At 38.2% G+C, this 26,487-nt stretch overlaps 1 protein-coding gene across 20 annotated transcripts in view; it reads right to left on the minus strand.

The window, feature by feature from the left end:
- TASP1 (taspase 1) overlaps window positions 1-26,487 on the minus strand; it is a 534,161-nt gene that overhangs the window by 328,711 nt on the left and 178,963 nt on the right. For 17 of the 20 annotated variants that reach the window (XR_001754319.3, XR_007067463.1, NR_136629.2 and 14 more), the window contains one exon: window positions 1,562-1,672. Coding sequence is in view for 14 of the 20 variants with exons in the window: in XM_047440269.1 (XP_047296225.1) it covers window positions 1,562-1,672 (111 nt within the window). In the remaining 6 variants the exon portion in view is untranslated. Of the gene's footprint in view, window positions 1-1,561; window positions 1,673-26,487 lie in introns of those variants that run through there. The other 3 variants (XM_047440271.1, XM_047440270.1, XM_047440272.1) reach the window with 2 other exon arrangements.

A 26,487-nucleotide genomic window follows, 5' to 3' on the forward strand; every position in this document is an offset into this window, starting at 1 on the left:
AGGTACTATGTGCAGAGGGTAGAAGGAGACAGTATGGCAAAAAAAAAAAAAAAAAAAAATACAGCTGGTGGTTAGTGTCCAGGTGGAGAAAAAGGCCTTTTATATAAAGTGTAGTTTTTCTCTGAGGAATGAACAAAGAGATTTTATGAAAATGTTTTGGGCACCTATAGAAAAAGTATTTTTTATACCCATAAAAAACACACAGTCTTCTATTTTATAAACTATGAAGGGACGTGTACTATAGCAATCGACAACAATCACACAATATACATCAGGCACCACTCACGCTTTCTGTAAGGAAATTTATAGGAAGGGTTAAACTACCACAACCCCCGTGGATGACCTATAGTGTTTGTATTAAAAAAAAAAAAAAAAAAACAGAAGAATGGACTAATACACTGAGCTATCACCATACAGTAGAATATAACACAGCAATGAAAATGTACAAACTCCTACTGCATGTAACATTGTTGAATCTAACAAGCTTGAATGCTGACTGAAGATTAGACACAAGTGATACGTATTCCTGATTCTATTTATATAATAAATAAAACCAGGCAGAACTAACCATGGTGTTAAAAGTGAGCATACTGTTTAACTTTGGAGGGGATAAAGACCAGAAGGTGTCAAAAGGGGACTTCTGGGGTTGTGGCAAAGTTCTATTTTTTTTTTAATCTGCATGCTGGTTATAGGGGGTGGGTTCACTTTGTGATAATTCATCAAGCAGTTGCAGTTATGATTTGTAGACTTTTCTAAATGTATGTATGCTTCAGTTAAAAAGTTAACTTTAAAAAAATAACAAATAGTGCCCCTGCTAGTGCATGTGTCACCTTTATGCAGATTTTTTTAATGTGTCCCCTCTGGAGAGATGGATTAGAAAAAGGCAACCCTGTGGTCAGCGGCAGCCCCACAACTCTGTGCCTTCACAGAGGGTGGGCTGGGTTTCATCCCCACTGGTGCTTGGGTAGAAACAAAACCACACATCTGGATGGAAATCTGCAAATCTGCGAAAATACTCATTTGACCCTCCCTCACCACAGCTTTATCAGGAGGCCAGGGCAGATGTCCTTGTTTTACAGATGAGGAAGTAGCATGGAACAGCAAGACCAATGCACGAAGGTGTCATGGTTAACGAGCCACGGAGCCAGGACTGACCTCTAAGGCCAGTAGCTCTTCACATGCTTCTCATTCCTTTTGGGGAAGGGGAACAGGAAGAAGCCTCTCTATTACTGTGTGCCTTGTTATGGGTCACCTCAAATGCTTTGTGGAATAAGATAGGACATGAATACAGGGTCCAACATTCTTAATACTGGACTTTAGTAAAGGTCCTTGGTTCTAAGCTTATTTGAAATATATTCTCTAAGTGTATACTTAAAAATGAACATTCATCTTTTACATGCTTATCTACGGAAAAAGATCAGTAGAACAGGGATGTTCAGATATCAATAAAGCATGCTGACCCTCCCGCAGTTTAAAATTATTGACTTAAGGGTATAAATATTTTCATTTTTTCTTGGAAAAAAAAATAGAAAGACACACACAATGTATATGTCTCACTTACCTAGAAGTGTCTGCTTATTTTGGGAGGAGTCAGGCTCGGCAGAACATCTGCATGAACGGAGGACAATCACTCCGCCAAGCACGCCATCTTCACTGGCAAGGAAAGGTGAACCTAGGCAGAAAGGACTAGTAGTTATTTTTCAGTGAATTTTACTTTTTAAATTTTCAATTTTCATTTGATTATTAGAACAAAAATGTGGCATGAATAAGAAAATGCCCATTTTCTGATAATCACCATTGTTCATACCTCATTATATACTTGATGGCAAAGGCAGGTTTATGCCTGAATAGGGGCCATTTGGCAAAGAAAATGCCACATGCTGTCAAGAAGATGTAAGTGGGGGAGGGAATGTGCATTACTGTATTCAGAATGGAATTGGAAATGCTACCAGATTAAAGGACCAAAACACAAATACAGGAAAAAATGCTCAATGACTCCCTTTGATCAACTCTTAGGGATCACTTACCACAGGCTCTCCCTGCTGTCAGGGACACACCACCAAAAGCTTCAGTTTACTACCTTAAATGCAATTTGAAACAATAAGCCACAAACTTTATTATAAACATTTTTAAATGCTTCTGATGGTTCGCACAAATAAGGGTGAAACTGCATTTCTATGATGAGAGTCTGGTGGTTAGAAAGAGTTGGGCTTCCTTGAGATCTCACACACTGAACCATTGTGAACATTTCAAGAACATTATATTTTAAAACCCCTCATTTTTCTTGCCCAAGGACATCTTCTTCAAACATCTGGCATAGCAAGTGAGCACGTGGAAAATAAATGCAAAATTAACCCAAGAACTATCAAAGAGAGTAGTAAAAAATCAAAACCAATCAAATTGGATTTGGTGGGAGCTTCTGCTTAAACTTACTATATTAAATACATGTATTTTTCTCCCTCCCTCTCCAAATCCTAGTGAACTGATGGGAAAGGAAGAAAGAAGCCATAGCCCAATAAGGGCAGAGAAAGAGGCAGACAAGGAAAAAACTGACCTTTTGGAAAACGGTAAGAAGACAGACAAGTGGTTGCTCACCTAGCAAACCCATGAAAGCTGAAACCTAAGTTTTCATGAGGCAGGGGAAAACTGGAGTGGAGGATACCCACAGGAAACCAAACCAGTTTTGCTGTAAAATGCAAAAAGGTTCAGAAATTGTAGGCTTCAAGATCCTCTGAAGGCAGGGGTACAGGGTAGAGAGGATAAAAGATGGTAGGTTGACAGTGTCCAAAAGAATCCTCTAGACCAGAGGTTGTCCTGCTAAGAATGCCATTATTTTGTTTTGTTTTTAGTTTTTAAAGGGTTGTTTTAAAAAAAAAAAAAGGAGGAGGAGGAAGAGAAGGAAGACAACATGCCACAGAGACCGTGACACAGGCTGCAAGCCCATAATCTTTATTCTCTAGCTCTTTACAGAAAAACTTTGCCAACTCCTGATCTAGAACAGGAGATCAGAACTGCAATTCCTTTCCAAAAAGGAAGTGACTCCTCCCTAACGCTGAAGAAGCCAGGATATTTACTCTCTAAAGAAGGTGAACTAGAGAGTTGAGACTTGGGAGCATCAGGGTTAGCCCAGGGCAGGAAAGAGGCTACACACTGAAAACAGGGAGCTGAGGTGTAAGTCTTTATGCTAAACAGTGAAATAACCAGCTCCCAGGATGCAAGAAATCAAGCTGATATCCTCCAAGAAGAGACTGGATAATCCCTTTCCAGCAACGCAGCCAACTCAAGACTAACGACCTACTTGAGAGACACCCCCAAGAAAACGTGTCCTCGACTTAGGGTAAGAGCTTCAAGATGACAAGTATGACTCATACACTAAAGGTTTTTAGTTCGGCTTAGCGTTTAACTATTAAATAGTTAATACCAAACAGTTGGTATTTAACTATTAAAGAGTACAGACAATCTAGGATTATTAGTTGTTTTAGTTAGGCCTCTGTTTTAGGAAAGACAGAGACCAAAAGAAATAAAATAGTACAGCATCATCCTGATACCAAAGCCTGGCAGAGACACAACAAAAAAAGAGAATTTTAGACCAATATCCCTGATGAACATCGATGCAAAAATCCTCAATAAAATACTGGCAAACCGAATCCAGCAGCACATCAAAAAGCTTATCCACCATGATCAAGTGGGCTTCATCCCTGGGATGCAAGGCTGGTTCAACATACGAAAATCAATAAACATAGTCCAGCATATAAACAGAACCAATGACAAAAACCACATGATTATCTCAATAGATGCAGAAAAGGCCTTTGACAAAATTCAACAACGCTTCATGCTAAAAACTCTCAATAAATTAGGTATTGATGGGACGTATCTCAAAATAATAAGAGCTATCTATGACAAATCCACAGCCAATATTGTACTGAATGGGCAAAAACTGGAAGCATTCCCTTTGAAAACTGGCACAAGACAGGGATGCCCTCTCTCACCACTTCTATTCAACATAGTGTTGGAAGTTCTGGCCAGGGCAATCAGGCAGGAGAAGGAAATAAAGGGTATTCAATTACGAAAAGAGGAAATCAAATTGTCCCTGTTTGCAGATGACATGATTGTACATCTAGAAAACCCCATTGTCTCAGCCCAAAATCTCCTTAAGCTGATAGACAATTTCAGCAAAGTCTCAGGATACAAAATCAATGTGCAAAAATCACAAGCATTCTTATACACCAATAACAGACAAACAGAGAGCCAAATCATGAGTGAACTCCCATTCACAATTGCTTCAGAGAGAATAAAATACCTAGGAATACAACTTACAAGGGACGTGAAGGACCTCTTCAAGGAGAACTACAAACCACTGCTCAATGACATAAAAGAGGATACAAACAAATGGAAGAACACTCCACGCTCATGGGTAGGAAGAATCAATATCATGAAAATGGCCATACTGCCCAAGGTAATTTATAGATTCAATGCCATCCCCATCAAGCTACCAATGACTTTCTTCACAGAATTGGAAAAAACTACTTTAAAGTTCATATGGAACCAAAAAGGAGCCCGCATTGCCAAGTCAATCCTAATTTATAGATTCAATGCCCAAGGTAATTTATAGATTCAATGCCATCCCCATCAAGCTACCAATGACTTTCTTTACAGAATTGGAAAAAACTACTTTAAAGTTCATATGGAACCAAAAAGGAGCCCGCATTGCCAAGTCAATCCTAAGCCAAAAGAACAAAGCTGGAGGCATCACGCTACCTGACTTCAAACTATACTACAAGGCTACAGTAATCAAAACAGCATGGTACTGGTACCAAAACAGAGATATAGACCAATGGAACAGAACAGAGCCCTCAGAAATAATGCCACATATCTACAACCATCTGATCTTTGACAAACCTGACAAAAACAAGAAATGGGGAAATGATTCCCTATTTAATAAATGGTGCTGGGAAAACTGGCTAGCCATATGTAGAAAGCTGAAACTGGATCCCTTCCTTATACCTTATACAAAAATTAATTCAAGATGGATTAAAGACTTAAATGTTAGACCTAAAACCATAAAAACCCTAGAAGAAAACCTAGGCAATACCATTCAGGACATAGCCATGGGCAAGGACTTTATGTCTAAAACACCAAAAGCAATGGCAACAAAAGCCAAAATTGACAAATGGGATCTAATTAATCTAAAGAGCTTCTGCACAGCAAAAGAAACCACCATCAGAGTGAACAGGCAACCTATAGAATGGGAGAAAATTTTTGCAATCTACTCATCTGACAAAGGGCGAATATCCAGAATCTACAATGAACTCAAACAAATTTACAAGAAAAAAACAAACAACCCCATCAAAAAGTGGGCAAAGGATATGAACAGACACTTCTCAAAAGAAGACATTTATGCAGCCAAAAGACACATGAAAAAATGCTCATCATCACTGGCCATTAGAGAAATGCATATCAAAACCACAATGAGACACCATCTCACATCAGTTAGAATGGCGATCATTAAAAAGTTAGGAAACGACTGGTGCTGGAGGGGATGTGGAGAAATAGGAAGACTTTTACACTGTTGGTGGGACTGTAAACTAGTTCAACCATTGTGGAAGTCAGTGTGGCGATTCCTCAGGGATCTAGAACTAGAAACACCATTTGACCCAGCCAGCCCATTACTGGGTATACACCCAAAGGATTATAGATCATGCTGCTATAAAGACACATGCACACGTATGTTTACTGCAGCACTATTCACAATAGCAAAGACTTGGAACCAACCCAAATGTCCATCAATGATAGACTGGATTAAGAAAATGTGGCACATATACACCATGGAATACTATGCAGCCATAAAAAAGGATGAGTTCATGTCCTTTGCAGGGACATGGATAAAGCTGGAAACCATCATTCTCAGCAAACTATCGCAAGGACAAAAAACCAAACACCACATGTTCTCACTCATAGATGGGAATTGAACAATGAGAACACATGGACACAGGAAGGGGAACATCACACACCGGGGCCTGTTGTGGGGTCGGGGGAGTGGGGAGGGATAGCATTTGGAGATATACCTAGTGTTAAGTGACGAGTTACTGGGTGTAGCACACCAACATGGCACATGTATACATATGTAACTAACCTGCATGTTGTGCACATGTACCCTAAAACTTAAAGTATAATTAAAAAAGAAAAAAGAAACAAAAGAGTAACACAGGGAAAATTTGGGCAAGTGTCCTGAGCAGAAGAAAAGTAAAACAAAACAAGAACAAAAAAATTAAAAAGATGAAAAATGAGTCAAAAATATAAGAAAATCATAAAGCTAGGCCAGAATTATCCAATATGTGAATAACAGGAGTTTTAGAAAGAGAGACTAGAAAAAATAAAAGGAGTAAAATTTCAAAGAAATAATTCAAAAACATTTCCAAGAATTGAAGATGAGTGTTCAAACTGAAAAGGTCCATCAACCTCCCCGTACAACTCATGAAAAAGGGGCCCCACGAAGATTTAACACTATGAAATATTAAAATACTAAGAAAGGAGAGAAGGGTCTAAAAACTTTCAAATGGGAAGAAAAGATCACATGGAAAGCAATGGTATTACAGTGGCATCAGATTTCTCAACAACAGCAACACCTGAAGCTAAAAGATGATGAGGCACTATCTTCAAAATGCTGAGGAAAAATTATTTCCAACCTAGAATTCTATATTCAGCCAAAAGGTCAATAAAGTATGAAAGTGGAATAAAGCTCTACAAAGTCTCAAAGAGATTACCTCCCATGCATTCTTTCTCAGAAAGCTACAGGATGAATGTTCCTTGACAGAATGAAGAAGGGAGGTAAATAATGAGGAAGAAAATAAGATCTGGATACAGAGGATCCAAAACAAGAGAAGATAATGGGATTCCAGATGACACAGCTATGCATCAAGCTGAGAGAGCAAACTGTCCAAATTGGAGCATGAAGCCAGAAGAGGCCAGGAAAGGTAATTCTAAGGGGAGGGAAAAATAAACTGACTGAATACATGTTGGTTTGAAATTATTGAGAGAAAATGTTTCAGATTTTGAGGAAAGTTTGGAGATGAAAGAGTGACTATTACCAAAAAAATAATAAGACTTGTACAAGAAATGAAATGGAATCACAGTATACTATGTAGTTAGGATGTGAATAGCTAGAGTAAACAAATATAAACTCTCATACTGATAAGCTAAAAAAAAAAAAAGAGGGAGAAATATAATACACTGAGAGAAGTTTAATTTTCAGAACCACCTGCCATGAGACATTTTATTATCATTTACAGATGAAGAACCTGAGTTTCAGAGAGGTTCAATGACTTGCTACAGCCATGCTATAGTTGAGTAGGAAATATGGCTTCCCCCAGCATCTTCTGTGCCATGATCCTTGCTTCATTTGTAGCAATGCCTCTCAGGTAACACAAAAATCTCTGAATAACCTCAAAATGCAACTGTGTGCTGGAAACCTCCATCCCAGCAGTACTCAAACATGGCACCTCTACAACTGTTCCTTTTACCACCAAATCCAGAAACTTCTTCTGGGCTCCTATAGCTCATCTAAGCTCAAAATCCTTTACCTCTTCCCTCTCCAACAAGTCAACACTTCAAACCATGTCAAATCTGTTAGTTCTCCCTATTACCTCATTTTTGCCTGCCCCCTCCCTTCATTCCCACTGACAAGACCCTCAATGTATTCTCATTGTCCAAGAAACCCTGCAACTAGCTCCAATATGGCCTCCTGCTCTAGTCATTCAAATCGCTAAATTAATTAATTCAATAAAAATGTACTAAGTGCCAGGACTCTTCCAGGCATTGGGGATACAGAAGTGAACAAAGCCCCTGCATACATCTAGTTGAGCAGCTTGGGGGACAAGTATTAAACTCACAAACCAATATGGAAATCCACCCAATAGCAGTAAGTGCTATGAAGAAAATGAACCAGGTAAATGATGGAGAGTGTCACTGGGGCTGAGCCTTGTCTACATTAAAGAGCAAGAAGGCCTCTTTTGGTAAGGAGCTAACCATGTGATAATCTGAGGAAAGACCATTCCAGGCAGATCAATCAGCAAATGCAGAGACTCTGAGGTGAGGGAGGGTCAGGGAAGAGAGGATAGAACATGCTTTCAAGAGAGAGGCAGGGCCAGGTCACAGACAGTGATAACATTTATCTGGACTTGTAAAAGTTACTTAGCTGTGCAGAATGTAGTGGCAAGGCAAGCATAAAAGCAACAAGCCACTAAAGAAGCTGCTGTGGCAGCCCAGTTGAGAGATGACAGTGGCTTGGGTGAGCCTTGTGACAGTGGAGGCTGTCTACAGAAGCTGGGTCTGCAATATATTCTGCAAGTAGAACTAATAGAGTTGTTGATGGAAGGGACATGAGAGGCATGGGAAACAGAGACTTCAAAGTTTACTGTAAAAAGAGATATGCATCCCAGCCATGGCCATATCATTAAACAACTGAAAAACCTGTAATAGCTCCCAACTGCCTGTAGAATGATGCCCAAATTCCTTAGTCTGGCGTAGCCTTTCTTATCCTTCCCAATCTTATCACCCTGTTTATTTTACACATCATTTGTACTTCCCAAACTCCACTCCCCTAAGATTTCCCCCTGGGCCCACTGTTGTGAACTGTCCTTCCTGGCTCCCTTTCCCCCCATAAACTGAGTCTGTTCTTTAACTCCAGTGCCTTTTATACAGATCCAGACTTTCTGGGGTAAAGGTATTTGATTTACCTTTAAAGCCCCCTAGTGATTAGCAAAACAATTCCACCACACACACACATACACAGACACACAGACACAGACACAGACACACACACACACACACACACCACACACATACTCCTGCCTACATCACTGAAGTGTGGCAAAGAGAATGGCAAGAAAGAAGAGAATGATCCCAGCACTTTGGGAGGCCAAGGTGGGTGGATCACAATGTCAGGAGTTCAAGACCGTCTTGGTCTTGAAGGCCAAGATAATGAAACCCTGTCTCTACTAAAAATACAAAAATTAGCCTGGCATGGTGGTGGGTGGCTGTAATCCCAGCTACTCAGGAAGCTGAGGCAGAGAATTGCTTGAACCCCGGAGGTGGAGGTTGCAGTGAGCCGATATCGTGCCCCCGCCCTCCAGCCTGGGCAACAGAGCAAGACTCTGTCTTTAAAAACAAACAAACAAACAAACAAAAAAACAGAGACAGAGAGAGAATGGCACTTTTACATAAGTGCTATGAAAGAGAGCAGGGGCCCCAGGCTACCATGCAAGCTTATATCAGTGTTGCATTTGGTATGAGTTCATCCAATTATTTAATGAAAGTATGGTTAGAGTGCATTTCAAGATTCCATATTTTTTGTGGAAAATACTCAGATTTTTATATGATCACCATGGTGCCGGAAAAACACTAACACAGACAGAAAACCATGTTTTAGTCTTGGGATAGCAACTATGTGTTATTAAGATATAATTTTTTAAATTGCACTCTTCAGTTTTTTCATTATAAATAACAGATATTAAAAGACATCTTTGAAGGCTGTTGTGAGGACTGAATTTGTATGTATGAACTTTTTAACTTCTAAGATGCTATTTAAACATTTGGTGGCAGTAACATTGATGGTAAGGACCCTTCAGCATTTTGCTGGTTTTCAAAGACTATCATGTGGAACAAGATCTATTACTATACTGGCCTAGTTAATCTTCTACAACAGCTGGAACCAGTGCTCAACTGACTAGATGGTGGTGGTGATAGGGTATCAATTTCCCTAGCTAAAAATGTTGAAGTGTCTATATAAAAGGAAACATTATTTATTCCTCTTACTAGTAAAGAAAACAAAAAGAAAGAAAAATTAACATGGAATGACATGTGGGGCACTGCTTAAGCGCTTTCTATATCCACAGAGGGAACTGGGGACAAAAATTAATAAATTAAGACAATCTTAAATTCCATTAACATATGTGCAAGCAGCTGCAAAAAACAAGTGGATTAGTAAAGAAGTAAGAAAGAAGATCAAACTTTATTCACTATAATAATCTCAACTAGATCCCTTAAATACCTAAGTCTGTAACTGCTATGGAATGAAACTGTAATTACAGATGGTGAGACACACTCACTGTGATTAAATGTATGTAATCTGGACATTCACTTAGGTTGTAAATCCAGACTATACACAAATTACAGACCCACTTATTGTATTTGTGCTATAATCTTTAAGGACGAAAACACTGAAGAAATTTGAGAGGAGAACCACAATGAATATTAAAACAGAGCAGTTAACAAGAATTTGAATGCATATTATTTTGGTTGCTAGTAACAGATTCCTAATTAGAAAAATCTAAAGCAGAAAGGGGAATTTGCCAGCTCATAAAATCTAAGAGGAAAAAAACCAAAGGGGTTAACCCTGGTATGATCAACTGGAACCACAAGGCCAGTGGAGTAGAGTTAGGATTAGACAAACAAATCCACAGATGTCCACAACACACAAATGGACAGAACAAAGAGCCAAGGAACCAGGAAATCAGAGTTCCAGATTTGGTGCTGTATTCTTGAACAAGACACTCTATCTCTCTGAACCGTGCTTTTTTTCCTTCATCTGAAAAATTAGACACTGGACTAGTAGTCTCTGATGTGCATGTATAGTGTTAGGAGTATTTTCAGTATTAGAGATTCATCTCTACCCACAAGCACAACCAGCATTACCTGACACTAGACAAGCCAAAACATCAGAGTTCCTTTTGCAAAACCGGACACACAGCTTCCTCTTCAACATGTGGGAATTTATCAAGAGAGGCATTCTGTAGCTAGAAGGTAGCTGCTAGTGTTCCACCTTCCCATTACATTTAATAAAGAATTTCTGTCCTTTCAATGAATTTCTGTGCATTGCTTTTTTCTTTTTAATTCCTATGCGCCAAATCACTTGAATGCCATTCTCTCTTTGAGGAATTACATATCTATGGAGAAAAATAAATATATTGACACACAGACAGTTTGGAGGTCAGGTGAGCGAGAAAATACTGGGGAAACGATGAATATTCTCTACTGAAAACACATACATTAACTCCAGAACAAAAGATTATAAATATATTATTTAAATACCAAAGTAGGATAACAATTTATACTTCCTGGAAGATCAAGGACTTTTTCTCTTAAGATGCACTTAAGTCTACAAGATTGTCTCCATCGTCCTATAAGATGTATATTAAGTTAACTGCATTCTACCATTTGCTGCTCCTACAAAAATCCCAATGGAATGATGTTCACTACACTCACTTTATAGAAGAGAAACCAAAGGAAACAAAGAAAGAACCTTAGGCATATGGAGGTAAATGAGCCTACAGAAACACAAGGAAGAAGTGGGAGCTGGGCATTAAACCACTGGTCCAGGTCTCTGTCTATAAACCCAGAGGACTACCTGTTCCTGAAGAATCCACCTCCAGCCCAGCTTATGGGTATCATCACTGTGTGCCATTTTCTGGTGATAAGCATAATATTAAGGTCTCCAAATTAACTTTTAAAGAGGAGAGGAGAGTTGAATTGAAAACAGAGTTAAGTTTGGCCAATAACCATTTTGAAATCCCTTATCTAACAAAATTTAAAAGATAGGAAGAGTCACCTTATTTCAGAACAGAAAATTCCAAACTTCCAAACCATAATCAAAACTATAATCCCATATACATATGGGAGAGATATTCAATCTTCGGATAAATTTACTGACTCTGCCACAAAGATTAGCAGTAATAAACCAAACCAAACTGAGAATTCAATTAAAGCCTCAGCTTCTTGATTTAATCAATCATATATGTACCTAATACTGTACTAGAAATGAGACAAGAGATTTCTTTGTTGCTTTTAAAAAGTTTAACACAGGGAGCTGTCCTCAAGGAAATAATTCAGTTGAGAAGAAAAAAACAACATATTTTGAAATTCATAAAGCAGTCTAAGAAGAATCAGAAGGCATCTTCTTTTTCTGAATATTCCATCCCAGCATTCTATCTGCAAGTGGAGGGACCTGGGATCCCACAAACCCATCATCCAGCAACAGTGATGAGTTGAGACAGGTGAACTGCTGACCAAGGGAGCAAGCGGGAATGTCCTACAGAGAACTGAAGACTCAGTGGAGGGGAAGCCAAATGGCCTAGGTTTTCAGCCCTAGTTCCAGCATTCTCCATGATTAACTTTTAGGTAAGAAGTTCTTCGCCTTCAGAATCTACTACCCTGCCAACCCCTAGATGCAGGAGAATGTAGTGAACACCTTCCTCCCTGTTTCCAGCTGCTAGACCTCCATCTCCAGGAGTATCACAAAGTAGAAGAGGGCAAAATAAAGCCAGATAGTGGCAGAAGGCAAACTGTCCTTTGTGGGAGCAGGTAGGGTGGTATAGATGCATATCTGCATATTAATACTAAACTAGAAGCCATGAATTTGAGAAGTACAACATTCATTCAACAAATATTTCATATTTTATAAAAGTTCACTTCACAATATTTAAGAATCAGTTCTGTACCAACCAATGTGTACATACTGAATAAGGTAAAATTGGTGGTCTCAAGTCATCTATGATATGATAATCAATAAACAATCAATGTTAGAAGGGAAAATCAAGCAGGATAAGAGAGACACAGTTGTATGACAGGTATGGAGGGAGACAGTATTTTAATCAGGATGGTCAAGCATCCTCTCTGAGAAAGCTAAAATTTAGAGAAAAACTCCAGCAAGTAAGAGAACAAACAACATAGGTACTGGAGGCTTGAGACAAAAATGTTTCCAGTGTAGTAAAGAAATACATCTCCACAGACAATTTATATAACACAGATACTAGGCCTAATGACCAGGTATGTTCATCATTTTACATCAAGAAAAGGAGGGGCTAGTTGGTATTCCGCTGATTGTTAACAGTTGGTATCCTTAATGGTTGTTAACTATCTTGACTATCCCATGACAAAAAGTAAATTTTCATTAAATTACTGTTCTTCTAAGAAATGTACTACAAAAACCACCCCTGTAGGTTTTAAATAACAACAATAATAACAAAAACCCCACAAAATAATACAAAATGAAAGTATCTGTCTTACTCCAAGGCCTATTCTATAGATGTAAGTACCATCAAGAGTTCCTTGTAGGCAAAAGCCACACCAAGGCAATTTTCAATGCCCTATATTCACTGTCACTTAGCCCTAAAAAAAATTCTTCTTATCAATAAAGTCACGAAAAAAAGTTTTTATCAGAAAAAACGGAGTTCTTTGTATATCCTTTCTGAAATTATCCATATGTAATCTGGGCATTTTTAAAACTTTTCATTCAATAGATCATGTCATATAAACTATTCTCAATCTGACTTTTTAAATTCAACAATATAACTCAGAGATCCTCCATCTCAGCACACACAAATTTAGCTTAGACTTTTCAACAATGAATATGCTCCTGGACATAGATGTTATCACTTCTTTATTTAGTATCCTATTGATGGACATTTAGATTGTTACCAATTTTGGTTTTTTGCCATTGCAAGTAATGCCACAGTGAACATCTGGACATATTTACCTTTCACACGTGTATGAATATATCTATAGGACATATTTCTAAACACAGAGTTGATGAATCAATCAGCATACTCATTTATTTGCTACAGATTCCTAAACTTTCCTCTAAAAACATTTATACCCACAAGAAACAGTGTTTGAGAGTACCTATTTTCCCTATGGGGAAATGCCAGCCTTACAAAAACTGGGTATTAGCAAACTTTTTGATTATTACTAATCTGATACATGAAAAATAGTAGTATCACACTACTGTCTTGATTTGTATTTATTTATGAATAAGGTAATTACCTATATGTTTACAAGCCATTTGTGTTTCTTTATCTGTGAGCTGCTTTCACATCTGTGGCATACACAACTGTTTGCCTACATATTATCCATTCTCCCTATCTTCCTTACAGTAAGGCAACCCCCAATTTTGTTTGGGGCAGAAAAGTGCCTAGCTTCCCAAACTCTTTTGTGGCTGGTTAGCTAAGTGGCAAAGTTTTCTAGCAGAGCTTATTAAAGGGCAGACTTCACTAGCACAAATTTTATTGGCTGCTGCCATCTGCTTCAGACTTTGTGCCTGAAAGTGGAACAGCTATCTTGTTCTCATGAAGAATAAAGCCACCTACTAAAGACAGCCAAACAGAAAGAGGCTAAGCCCCAAATGCACTATGAAGCCTGTGTGCCAGGCTGAAAGGCTGGATTGCTTTCAGATGTTTTATGTGAGAAAATAAAAGCCCTCATTTTGTTAAGCCCTTCTGTCTGGATTTGTCATATCAACATAATCCCAAACTGAAAATTTCCTTCATCCAGATCTTTATTGGGTACTTGTATTTTTTTCTTACTAATTTGCTATACTCTTTACTTATTAAGGCAGTAAGCCCTTGGCTATTATGTGTTGCAAATATTTTTCCCCAGTTGGTCATATATTTGTTAATTTTGTCTATGATCTTTTTTGTAATACAGAAGTTTTTAATGCTTATGTAATCAAAATATGTAGTCTCTTTCTTCTAAGGCTTCTGTGTTGGCAGTTTTACAAGAAAGGTCTTCCCTAATCAAAAATTATGAAAATAACTTATCCATGTTTTCTATTTGTGCTTTTACAATTACAATTTTTAATTTTAGAACTTCAGTTCTTCTGGACTTAATTTTGGTATAAAGACTACAGTGAAGATCTTGTTGCTGTTTTATATTCCTAAATGGTCAGCCAATTGCCCAACATAAATTTCTTGAAAAAGGCCTCTCTTACCCATTGACTTGAAATACATTTTTAATCACATAGTAAATTCCCATATGTATTTGCATCTGTACCTAGATTATCCTGTTCCATTGATGAAATTATTCCTATATAAATTTCGAGTGGCTTTATTTTCACAATATTCTTTGCTGCTTTCATATCATTTTTCCACATTATCTTAAACATCAGCTTGACAAATACTCTTGCCTTGACTTTAATTAGAATTTTCATATGGTCATAATTTAATTAACTGTGATTTTGCTTTAGGGTCAGAATGTCCTGATAATATTTTCCCAGGAAAGCCTAAAGACAGAGTCAATTATAGCCTTGTCACTCCAAAATTCTGGGATCATGTGTATTCTTACACAAAGAAACGTGGCGTGGTACCCTAAAATAAAATACGCAAGTAGACTTGTACATAATTTAAAAGGATCGCTTATGCCTTTGATCAAATAAGTATCTTTGTAGAATGTCTTCTGAGATGTACATAGTAGGAAATGCAACATTTTTTTCACAGTCAGTTCTTACTCTGCTATCTATTTTATTTGCCACAGGCTATAATCACCATCCATAATACTCCAAGAAAATAATTCTCAGCAACCCTCAGCCTACTCCCAAAAAACAGGACGAAAAGAACACAAAACAAACCAACCAACAAACAAAAAAAACCCTTAGTTCTAAGAGGGGTTAGATGGCAAGTTGTCTTCGAGTGAGGTAAAAACACCCAGGATTGGTATATTTTTAGGTCAATTAATCATGTGTATATGGAAGAATTCACTGATACAGTGTTTAAAACATGTATAGCATTAAAACTTTTTTTTCTGGGTGAATAGAGTGTTTGCTCATTAAATTCTAGATTCTATGTGTGCTAACTATCTTATGGTATCTACACTATAGTCCAAAGGCACCAGTGCTCCCGAGCAATGCCTTTTGCTTCAGGAGGACTATGCTGGTATCTTTTATGTGGACTTGGTAAACAAAGTTGATATGGCCAAATAATGCAGGTGAGCAACTTGGGGTACATGGGACTGTCTCCACCAATCACTGCCTGAAGACCTTCCAAAGGACATCGGACCTTAAAGAACATTATACATTTAGTTATTGTTGCTCATTGTGTTTCCTTCTCTGATTTATTTCCTTATATACCCAATTTTACCATGAGAGCAACTCTATTCACTTTTACTTTGTGTGGTCAGATCCCACTTACTGTGCAGAAGCACATAACATAGAGGCCTTCTAGCACGCTTTTAATTCCTATGTAAAATCAGTTTAATGTAGCTTTGTGTACTCTCATTAACTTTGTTTTTAAGTAAGTAAATAAATAAATCTATTTTATTGTGACAACAATGGCTTTGCACAGCTGCTGTGTGGGAAGCTTGATAAAATGGTGATTGCTGATATTCCAGTTTCTATTAAGTTTCTGGATTCTTCAATATTTTTCACTTTGATGATTGTACTGAGAGGTTATACAGTTACATAATTATAAATGCATACTGTTATACGTGAACTTACAACTCTAGGTCTAGAAATACTGCAATGTTTACATTGTGAACTTTAGATGAAACTGTCACATATCCCTATATAGTGAATCACTGTATCCTGAACCCTATAATAGGGAGTCACCCATTAATGCAGGAGGACTTTTACATAGAAAGCTATAATTCAATTGTACAACATATCAGTGCAATGATACACAGGGTGTTGCATCTCACTTGAATGTACTTCTCTATATAAAGGCATACCTTGAAGATACCGAAGGTTCATTTCCAAACAACTTCAATAGAGCAAATAACACAATAAATGGCAAATCACAATAAAGTGAGTCATGCAAGTTTTTTGGTTTCCCAGTGCATATGAAAGTTATGTTTACACTACTATACTATAATTTACTAACTGTATAGCAGTGCTATGTCTAAAAAATGTAAATAACTTAATTTAAAAGTACTTTTATTGCAAAAATGCTAATGATTATCTGAGACTTAGATGAGTCATATCCTTTTGCTGGTGGGCGGTCTTGCCTCGATGTTGAAGGCTGCTGTTGGATCAGAGTGATGGCTCATGAAGACTGAGGTGGCTGTGACAATTCCTTAAAATAAGATGGCAATGAAGTTTGCTGCATTAATTGACTTCCTTTCATGAAAGATTTCTTTGTAGCATGCAATGCTGTTTAATCACATTTTACTCACAGTAGAGCTTTCAAAATTAAAGTCAGTCCTCTCAAACCTTGAAGTTGCTTTATCAAATAAGTTATGCAATATCCTAATTCTTTGTCCTTATTTCAACAATGTTCACAGCTTCTTCACCAGGAGAAGATTTCATCTCAAGAAATCACTTTCTTTGCTCATCCACAGAAGCAACTCCTCATCCGTTAAAGTTTTATCATAAAATTGCAGCAATTCAGTCACATCTTCAGGCACCATTCTAATTCTAGTTTCTTGATATATCTACCAAGTCTACAGTTACTTCCTCCGATGAAGTCTTAAACTCCTCAAAGTCATCAATGAGGGTTAGAATATACTTCTTCCAAACTCTTGTGAATGTTATTTTGACCTCTTCCCATGAATCACAAATGTTCCCAATGGCATCTAGAAGGTTTTTAATTTACTTGACCCAGATTTCAAAAGCAACAAATCCTGATGGAGAAGGTTTTCTAAAGGTTTTTAATTTACTTGTCCCCGGTTCATCAGAAGAATCACTATCTATGGCAGCTATAGCCTTATAAAATGTATTCCTTAAATAATAAAGAGTTTCAGTATGGATATTATGTTAGCAGGCATGAAAACATTAATCTCCTTGTACATCTCCATCAGAACCCTTGGACGACCAGGTGCATTGTCATAGAACAAAACTATTTTGAAAGGAATATTTTTTCCTGAGCAGCAGCTCTCAACAGTGGGATTAAAGTATTCAGTAAACTGTGCTGTAAACAGATGTGCTGTCATCTAGACTTTGTTGTCCCATTTATAAGGCACAGGAAGAGTAGATTTAGCATAAGTCCTAAGGGCCATAGGATTTTTTGAATGATAAATAAGCATTGGCTTCAATTGAAAATCACCAGCTGCATTAGTTTCTAACAAGAGAGTCAGCATGTTCTCAGAAGCCAAGGCACTGACTTCTCCTGGCCAGCTATGAAAGTCCTAGATGGCATCATCTTCCAACAGAAGGCCATTTTTGTCTGCCTTCAAAATCTGTTGTTTAGTGTAGTCACCTTCTTCAGTGATCTTAGCTAGATCTTCTGGATAACTTGTGGCAGCTTCTCCATAAGGACTTGTTGCTTCTTCTTGCATTTTTATATTATGGAGGCAGCTTCTTTCCTTATACCTCATGAATGAATCTCTGCTAGATTCAACTTTTCTTCTGCAGCTTCCTCACCTCTCTCAGCCTTAACAGAATTAAAGAGAGTTAGGATCTTGCTCTGGATTGGGATCCTTAACACTGAGTGTTATATCAGATGTTCTATCCCCATACCAAGCTGTTTCACTTCCTTATCATCTGTGTGTTCACTAGAGTAGCACTTTTTAATTTCCTTCAAGAACTTTTCCTTTGCATTCACAACTTGGCTAACTGGTGTAGGAGGCTTACCTTTTGACCCATCTCAGCTTTTGACATGCCTTCCTCACTAACCTTAATCATTTCTAGCTTTTGACTTAAAGTGAGAGATTTGCAACTCTTCAATTCACCTGAAGATGCAGAGTCATTAATTGGCCTAATTTCAATATTTTTGTGTCTCAGTGAATAAGGAGGCCAAGGACAGCAAGAGAAACAGGGGAACAATTGGTTAGTGGAGGAATCAGAGCATACACATTTATTACACACAGGTTTACAGTCTTTTATGACCACAGTTTGTGGCACCCCAAAACATTACCATAGTAACATCAAAGATCACTGATGACAGACTATCAGCACAGATACAGTAACAATAAAAAAGCTTGAGATATTGCAAGAATTACCAAAATGTGACATAGAAATACAAAGTGAGCATACACTGTTGGAAAAATGGCATCAACAGATTTGTTCAATGCAGAGTTGCCATAGATCTTCAATTTGTTTTGAAAAATGCAGTATCTGCTAAGCATAATAAAATGAGGTATGCCTCTATTCCATTCTTAGTGAACTCGCTGAACATACTAAATACCTGCTCTGTACTCAATGCTCTCCCAAGCAGTGTGATACACATACATTAAAAAAAAAAAAAAATTCCTGAAAAACCTACAACTCTGTTGGCCAGACACAATTTACTTATATAAAGCTAGAAAACAGCATATAGTAATATTTTAAATTTTTATATATACAAATTCATATATATACATATTCCATACATACTATAAATATGTACATCTCACTAGAATCTACAGGCAACTAGACTATCTGTTCACCACTGACCACCCAGAACAGTGTCTGACACATAGTAGGTGATCAACAAATATTTCTTAAGTAAATAAATGAGAAGCTATTGAGCTATTGGAATCTGAGAAGGGCATACTCACTTTATTAGGGAAAGGCCTCAGGATGGAGAAAAGAAGGAAAATCCGCCCTTGGATAATGGGTTGAACTTGGTTCAACATCATGGTGCTGAGCAAACACTAGATAATCAGTCACAGCTCTTGACTATTTGGACAATGTGAACATTGATAAAGGTCACAAAGAAGAGTGCTCAGAATATGGCAGACACTTAGTATCCACTACATGATCTGGACCTAGAGAAAGGCTGAAGGCTGCGTGACCAGGACATGTGGAAAGATGATGTCCCTAACAGGCAGTGCTGGGAAAAGAGCCAACTGGGTTTAGACATGGAATAGTTTTGTCAAATCAAGGAACTAATGATTAACGAAAGGAGCCAAGAAGAGAAGGGACAGGAACAAAGTCTGGAAGTCCAAGGGACAATAATGTAGAGACCACTAGATCTATGGAGGAGGAGAAACAACATGAAAAGAAAATCAAATGGACTAAAATGGAAACATCAGAGAGGAATGGCAAGGAACTGATGGTGCAGACAGGGGAACTCACTGAAATCGGAACAGCAGGGGAAGAAACAGACCTGAGGGATCTTGTGGCAAAAGAGAAGAATGGATGAGGGAATTGCTATAAAAGACAGCAACTGGTGGCCAAGACGTTCAAGAGAGTGGTATTGTCTTCAGGATCTACTTAGCATGTTGATGACACAATGGTCACATTAATCAGGGAGTTAACTGTTTAATGGAATTCCAATATGATTTTTAGGTGTTTCAAAAAGTCAAGCAAGCACTGCTAGACCTGGAGATCTCATGGTGGAAGACTCGCATTGTAAACATTCTCTTCCCACTTGGGAATGGCATATACTTACATTGGGATTTAAGAGCCTAAACTGAAAGGGAGGGAGATCATAAAAAGGTGACTCATCACCTAGAAGAGTGCATGGATAGCATCATTAATTTTCCTTCATTTATTCTTTAGCTAGTTATTACGTACTATTCATTACATACTGAACCCCATTCTAGATGATGGGATTACATCAGTAAACAAGATACTGATGGTCCCAGGTCACAGGAAGGTTACATTCTGATGGCAGAAATGGCTAAGCAAGCAAATACACACATACACATCATTTACAACAGTAATAGTCCCACGGAGGAAACAAACAAGGGGCTGAGAGGGAGGCTGATAGGGCCAAGAGGAACCCACCACTGCATGGTCTTTCAGAGCAGGTGGTATTTCAATTCTGACTAAAAGATGAGGAAGAAGGAAGATTGGAAAAGATGAGGAAGATGAAGGTTGGAAAGAAGGATGTTCCAGATGAAGAAAATAAAACATGCCAAGGTCCTGAGAAGTAAAGAACCTAGGAATTGAGGGGGAAAAAAAAAAAAACAAGGAGGCCAGTGTCCTGAGCAAGAAAGTGACCTGGGATGATGTTGAGGAGACAGACAGTAATCACACTGGAAACCATGAAGTAGTGTCTGCATTTCATCCTCTTTTCAGTGGAGGGCCATCAAAGGGATAAGACAGTGAATTTATATCTTCAGAAATAAAATCTTTAGAGAATGAATTGAAACTTGCTGCTCTGTGGAGAATGATGGGGTGGGGATAGTTGTCAAGAGAAGAGGCAGGAAGACTGCTTAGGAAACGTCTGTGGTAGTTTCAGGGAGAGTTCCTTGGTGAGTCTGGAGAGACCTCCATGTCCCCTGGATGGCCTCCCTTCCCCTGTCCCAGGGAGGTATCCTAGCATGGCTGAATGAGCAAACCCTCACCACAGTACTTAGTATATGCCATAGCATATGCTGCTTAGAGTAGAAGTGGGACAAGAAGAAACATGACTGAGGACTGAAGCCAGGTGCTCTACCGAAGAGAGAATGTGAGTTACTGCTCCCCATCAGGGGGCCCACGTACCACAGCCAAATGTGCGCAAGTGGTTACTAACCTCGACCTGTCATTTCAACCAGATTATTTATATGTCCCCTTGTCATTACATGATATCAAGTGCAGTGCCCTAAGGACAGTTGTCAGAGAATTCTGGGCACAGCAAGGCCATTTCCTGTGAAATTCCTTCCCAAGTCTGAGGCTCTGAATTCCTTCCTTGTGTCAGTCCCTGGAGGCCTTGTTTATCCCTGGAAGCCCCCATCATCCTAATTCAGCAGAGCTCCAAATTGTTAACCTTAGGACACTGGGCAGGATCTACTTTATAGCTTGTCATTTTTTACTAAATAAAGCCCTGAAAATGCCTAGGAAGACTTCACCAGAAGTCTTCACTTTGTGGTGGAATTTAAGCTGACCTGTTTGATTTAATTGCATATTTTTACATTCTACACATGTCTAGGAGCCTTGGGCTGTGGAGAATCTTTTACTGTGTCTAATAAATAAAACAAAAATAAGGAACTGCAGGATCAAACAATAAATGCCTTCTTAAAAAAACAGGGAAAAATGAGAGCCATTAACTTTTAAAGTTTTTAAAAAACATTTTTGGAGAGTAAATCTTATAATTTAACACTGACAAAATGGCTAATAAGATAGCAAGGGTAACTGAAAATTATTAACTCCTTTCCTTCATTTGTATTGGTAAAAATATCTCTGCCAGAATTAATACAGGGGGTCTTCAAAAAATTCATAGAAACTGTGCATTATGAAACTATGCATGGATTTCAAAAAATGTTTGCATGAAAATAAACTCACACTAACTTGTTATAACATGTCTGAAAGAGATCTAGTTTGAAGCACTAAGAAATATAAGACATCAGTTTGAAAAGAGCCCCTCTCATAGTGACATCAATTCTACTAAAGTTGAAGAAAGAACAAACATCAAACTTATGGTGAAGGTTGGGTGGGAGAATGGTGGAATCACTGATGCTTTATGAAAAGTTCATGGGGACAATGCCCCAAATAAATCAGCAGTTTACAAATGCATTACTCATTCTAAGAAGAGACGAGACAATGTTGAAGATGAAGCCTGCAGCAGCAGACCATCCACATCAATTTGCAAGGAAAAAAATGTGTCTTGTTCATGCCCTGATTACAGAGGACTGACAATTAACAGCAGAAACCATAACCAACACCCTGGTCTGCTGCTGTGCATTTCATCTTCAACACTGTCTCATCCCTTCTTAAAATGAGTTATCCATTTGTAAACCGCTGATTTACATGGGGCATTGCCCCATAAACTTTTCACAAGGCAATAGATATCTCAATTGCTTCAGCTTACACAATACTGACTAAAAAATTTAAGTTGAACAAACTCTCCACTCGCCAGGTGCCAAAAGTGTTGCAACCAGATCAGCTGCAGACAAGAGCAGAGCTTTCAATGGGAATTTTAAACAAGCGGGATCAAGATCCTCAAGCACTTCTTCAAAGAACTATAACAGCAGATGAAACATGGCTTTACTAATAGGATCCAGAAGACAAAGCACAATCAAAGCAATGGCTACAAAGAGATGGAAGTAAACCCATCAGAGCAAAAACATACCAGTCAAGAGCAACGGTCATGGCAACAGTTTTTTGGGGATGCTAAAGACATTTTGCTTGCTGACTTTCTGGAGGGCCAAAGAATGATAAATCTGCTTATTATGAGAGTGTTCTGAGACCATCAGCCAAAGCTTTAGCAGAAAAATGCCTAGGAAGACTTCACCAGAGAGTCCTCTACCACAACAACATCCTGCTCACTCCTCTCATCAAACAAGGGCAATTTTGTGAAAGTTTTGATGGAAAATCATTAGCCCTCCACCATATAGTCCTGATTTGGCTCCTTCTTTTTGTTTGCTATCCTAAAGAAAAAAACCTGTAAAGGGTGCCAATTATTCTTCAATTAATGATGTAAAAAAGACTGCATTGACACTGTTATATACTCAGGACCCTCAGATCTTTCGGAATGGACTAAATGGCTGGTATCACTGCTTGCAAAAGTGTCTTTAACTGGCTGAAGCTTATGTTGAGAAATAAAGTTTATATTTTTAATTCCATTTTTCATGAACTTTTTGCAGTCCCTTCACGTGACATCAGTGGCATTGAAAGACCAAATTGATTTGTCAGTCACCTTTGTCTTAATTTATACAGGAGCAAGCACATGACAGCCAAACTTAAGTCACTCTAAGGAAAAATAAAATAATAAAATAAAATAAAAAGCTTGTAATGAGAAAAGAACTAAATACAAAAGCAAGTACCTACTAGGAAAAAAATGGTCAGAATAACCCACAAGCCAGACTTTTCTTTTTGTTCACAACATACAAGAAGGAAAAATGTTTTAAAATGGGATCCTATGAGTTCATGTCCTTTGCAGGGACATGGATGAAGCTGGAAACCATCATTCTCAGCAAACTATCACAAGGACAGAAAACCAAACACCGCATGTTCTCACTCATAGGTGGGAACTGAACAATGAGATCACTTGGACACAGGGCAGTGAACATCACACACTGGGGCCTGTTGGGGGATGGGGGACTGGGGGAGGGATAGCATTAGGAGAAATACCTAATGTAAATGAGGAGTTGATGGGTTCAGCAAACCAACATGGCACATGTATACCTGTGTATCAAACCTGCACGTTATGCACATGTACCCTAGAACTTAAAGTATAATAAAAAATAAAAAATAAAATGGGATCCTATAAATTATATACATTATTTTAAAACCCAAACATTCAGGTAAATAAAATGTAAAAAGCAGGATGGTATATATACGATAGGATGGCTTTAGGGAAGTCTAAATCAATAAATAATGCTTTATGCTCAAAAACAACTTTTACTTTATAGAATTTTTGTAAGAAAGAAATAAAACCACAAAACTTTATTGTAGTATACTTAAAGGATTTAAATTAACCTAAATTTACATGAAGAAAAATATTTTATAGATGTTTTTCTGTATATACACATATAGATAAACTCACAACTTTTTAATGCTTTTTTTCTTTTTAATTTTATTTTATTTTTCAACTTTTATTTTAGATTCAGGAAGTATACAGTTTCTTAAATAGTCATTAATCATCTGTGATAAGGCTGCAATGTCACTCTTAAGAATTCTGGGAACTCTACCTACAGAAGAACAAGTTTATCCAAATATGCAGAAACACAGACATTCACAATCTAATAGAGCTATGTTAATAAGCTGGAGTAAACACTGAATTATCACACTAATTTTAGTGATTCCATATAAGCAGGGTCTGTTATGGAACTATATCCCGGAAGGGGCTAATAACTAAAGGACAAAAAGACCCTACACCCACAGAATTGCCTGACAGTGTAAAAATCAAGTGAAGAATCACTGTGAAATTCATTTTTTTAAAAATCTAAATTTCAAGAAAGATGTTTTCATTTGTAAGTTTTCAATTATTGCATTGTCACCAAAAGAGTACTAAATATAGCCTAGTCATTGGTGGTACACAAAACCTTAACTGAGAGTACAAAATATAGTCAAGACAGTAGTGGTACACAAAACCTCAATCTAGTGTGTAAACAAAAAGGTCAACATTAGAAGTAATGGTCAATCCGAAATATTTCAAAACCGCACACTTATTTTAGAGCCATTTGTTAACAAGAGCAAGTTCTACACATTCAATTGAGTGAACAGTATTGTTTTGATGGTGAACACCCTAAAGGAAGAAAAAGAGTGCCAGTAATTCAAATTTTTAATTTCCACAGTTTTTGTTGTTGTTGTTTTCGTTTGTTTGTTTGTTTTAGATGGGGTTTCGCTCTTGTTGCCTAGGCTGGAATGCAATGGCACGATCTTGGCTCACTGCAACCTCTGCCTTCTGGGTTCAAATGATTCTCCTGCCTCAGCCTCCCGAGTAGCTGGGATTACAGGTGCCCCCCACCATGCCCAGCTAATTTTTAGTAGAGATGGGGTTTTACCATGTTGGCCAGGCTGGTCTCAAACTCCTGACCCTTGGATGATCCACCTGCCTCAGCCTCCCAAAGTGCTGAGATTACAGGCATGAGCCACCACTCCTGGCCCATAGTTAAGCTTAATTATCAATTTCTGGGATAAATAAAAAAAAGAATCATTCACTTTCTTGACCCATCCAGCTGGGCTCCATCCCAGGACTCCTAAGCCCTGTGGTTGTTGCATGTTCATGTTAGTTAACGCCACAGCTCAGCGAAAAAACAACTGATCTGGGGACAAGCAGGTCAACTTGCCAACATACAACATTAGTACATGTGGGTTCAGAGCACTCTGCATTTTTCTTTCATATTCTAATTGTGACAAACAAGGCTATATAAGGTTTAAAATTTTGGCAAATGTAAATGAGGTTTATGGAAACAATATTCATGTCATGCCTGAACAAGGATAGTGTCTTCTACTAAAACCAGATTGGGATTTCATGTCATGAGACAAGTTTGTGTAGCAGTTCATCTACTGGCCCCTAGAGGCCACTCTCCATCACCCCTCAAAGATTTATGCCCCTGGCTGATATCCGTCCTGTCATAATACCTAGTTGACTTCATGGTGCATGGAGACTATCCTTCCAACTCCATGACTTCTCAATTTTTTTACCTCTTACTTTATTTATGTTACCCACTCACTCCCTTTATCGTCCCCTAGTCTTTGTGATTTCCCAGTAACATCACCTCTTGCGTGAACCTCACTTGCAAGAATCTCACTAACCACCCCTAACTGCACAGTGCATACCTTCTGGTTCCCAGACTCCAACAACCTCCCTCCCAAGTCCTCATTTTGGCCCTAAGTAGCCAAAGTCCATAGTCCATCATTATAATTAATTCTCTGCAGAAACCATCAGCTAAATTGGTCTGCTCTTGCCCCATCATACTCACCTGACAAAATTCCAACCATAATTAAATCTTACTCCATGCCTGCACCCATAAACCAAACTTTGCTGAAGATAATTACACTACCATGCTGACCATGCCTTCTTTAAATTCATGGTCACTATCTTCAATTTGGACCCTTAATGCTGCCTGGCAATACATAGGCAAGTACTGACCTATACTTTCTTGTTTTTCCTCAAATTTCCAATATTTCCTCCTCCATGGGAACTCTGCTGCTGTCTTTCCCTGGGAGAGACAGAAGCAGAAAGAACTTTCATCAGCCCCCACCACATCTTGATTCAAGACTTGCCTCCTGTTACTACAGATGAATTGCTCATGCTCCTCCAAGGTCAATAGCTTCACCTGTTGACTAGGTCTACTGCTTCTTGCCTCCTCAGGGACCTTCACCTCTGCCCGAACACACACATCATTAATTTGTCTCTTTCATGAATCATTGTCCTGTATTATTTGCTCTAACTTCTCATCTATAGAAAAACATACACATTTGTCTTCTAT

The sequence above is a fragment of the Homo sapiens genome, chromosome 20 (assembly GCF_000001405.40).
Source record: "Homo sapiens chromosome 20, GRCh38.p14 Primary Assembly".
In the NCBI taxonomy this organism is placed as follows: domain Eukaryota; kingdom Metazoa; phylum Chordata; class Mammalia; order Primates; family Hominidae; genus Homo; species Homo sapiens.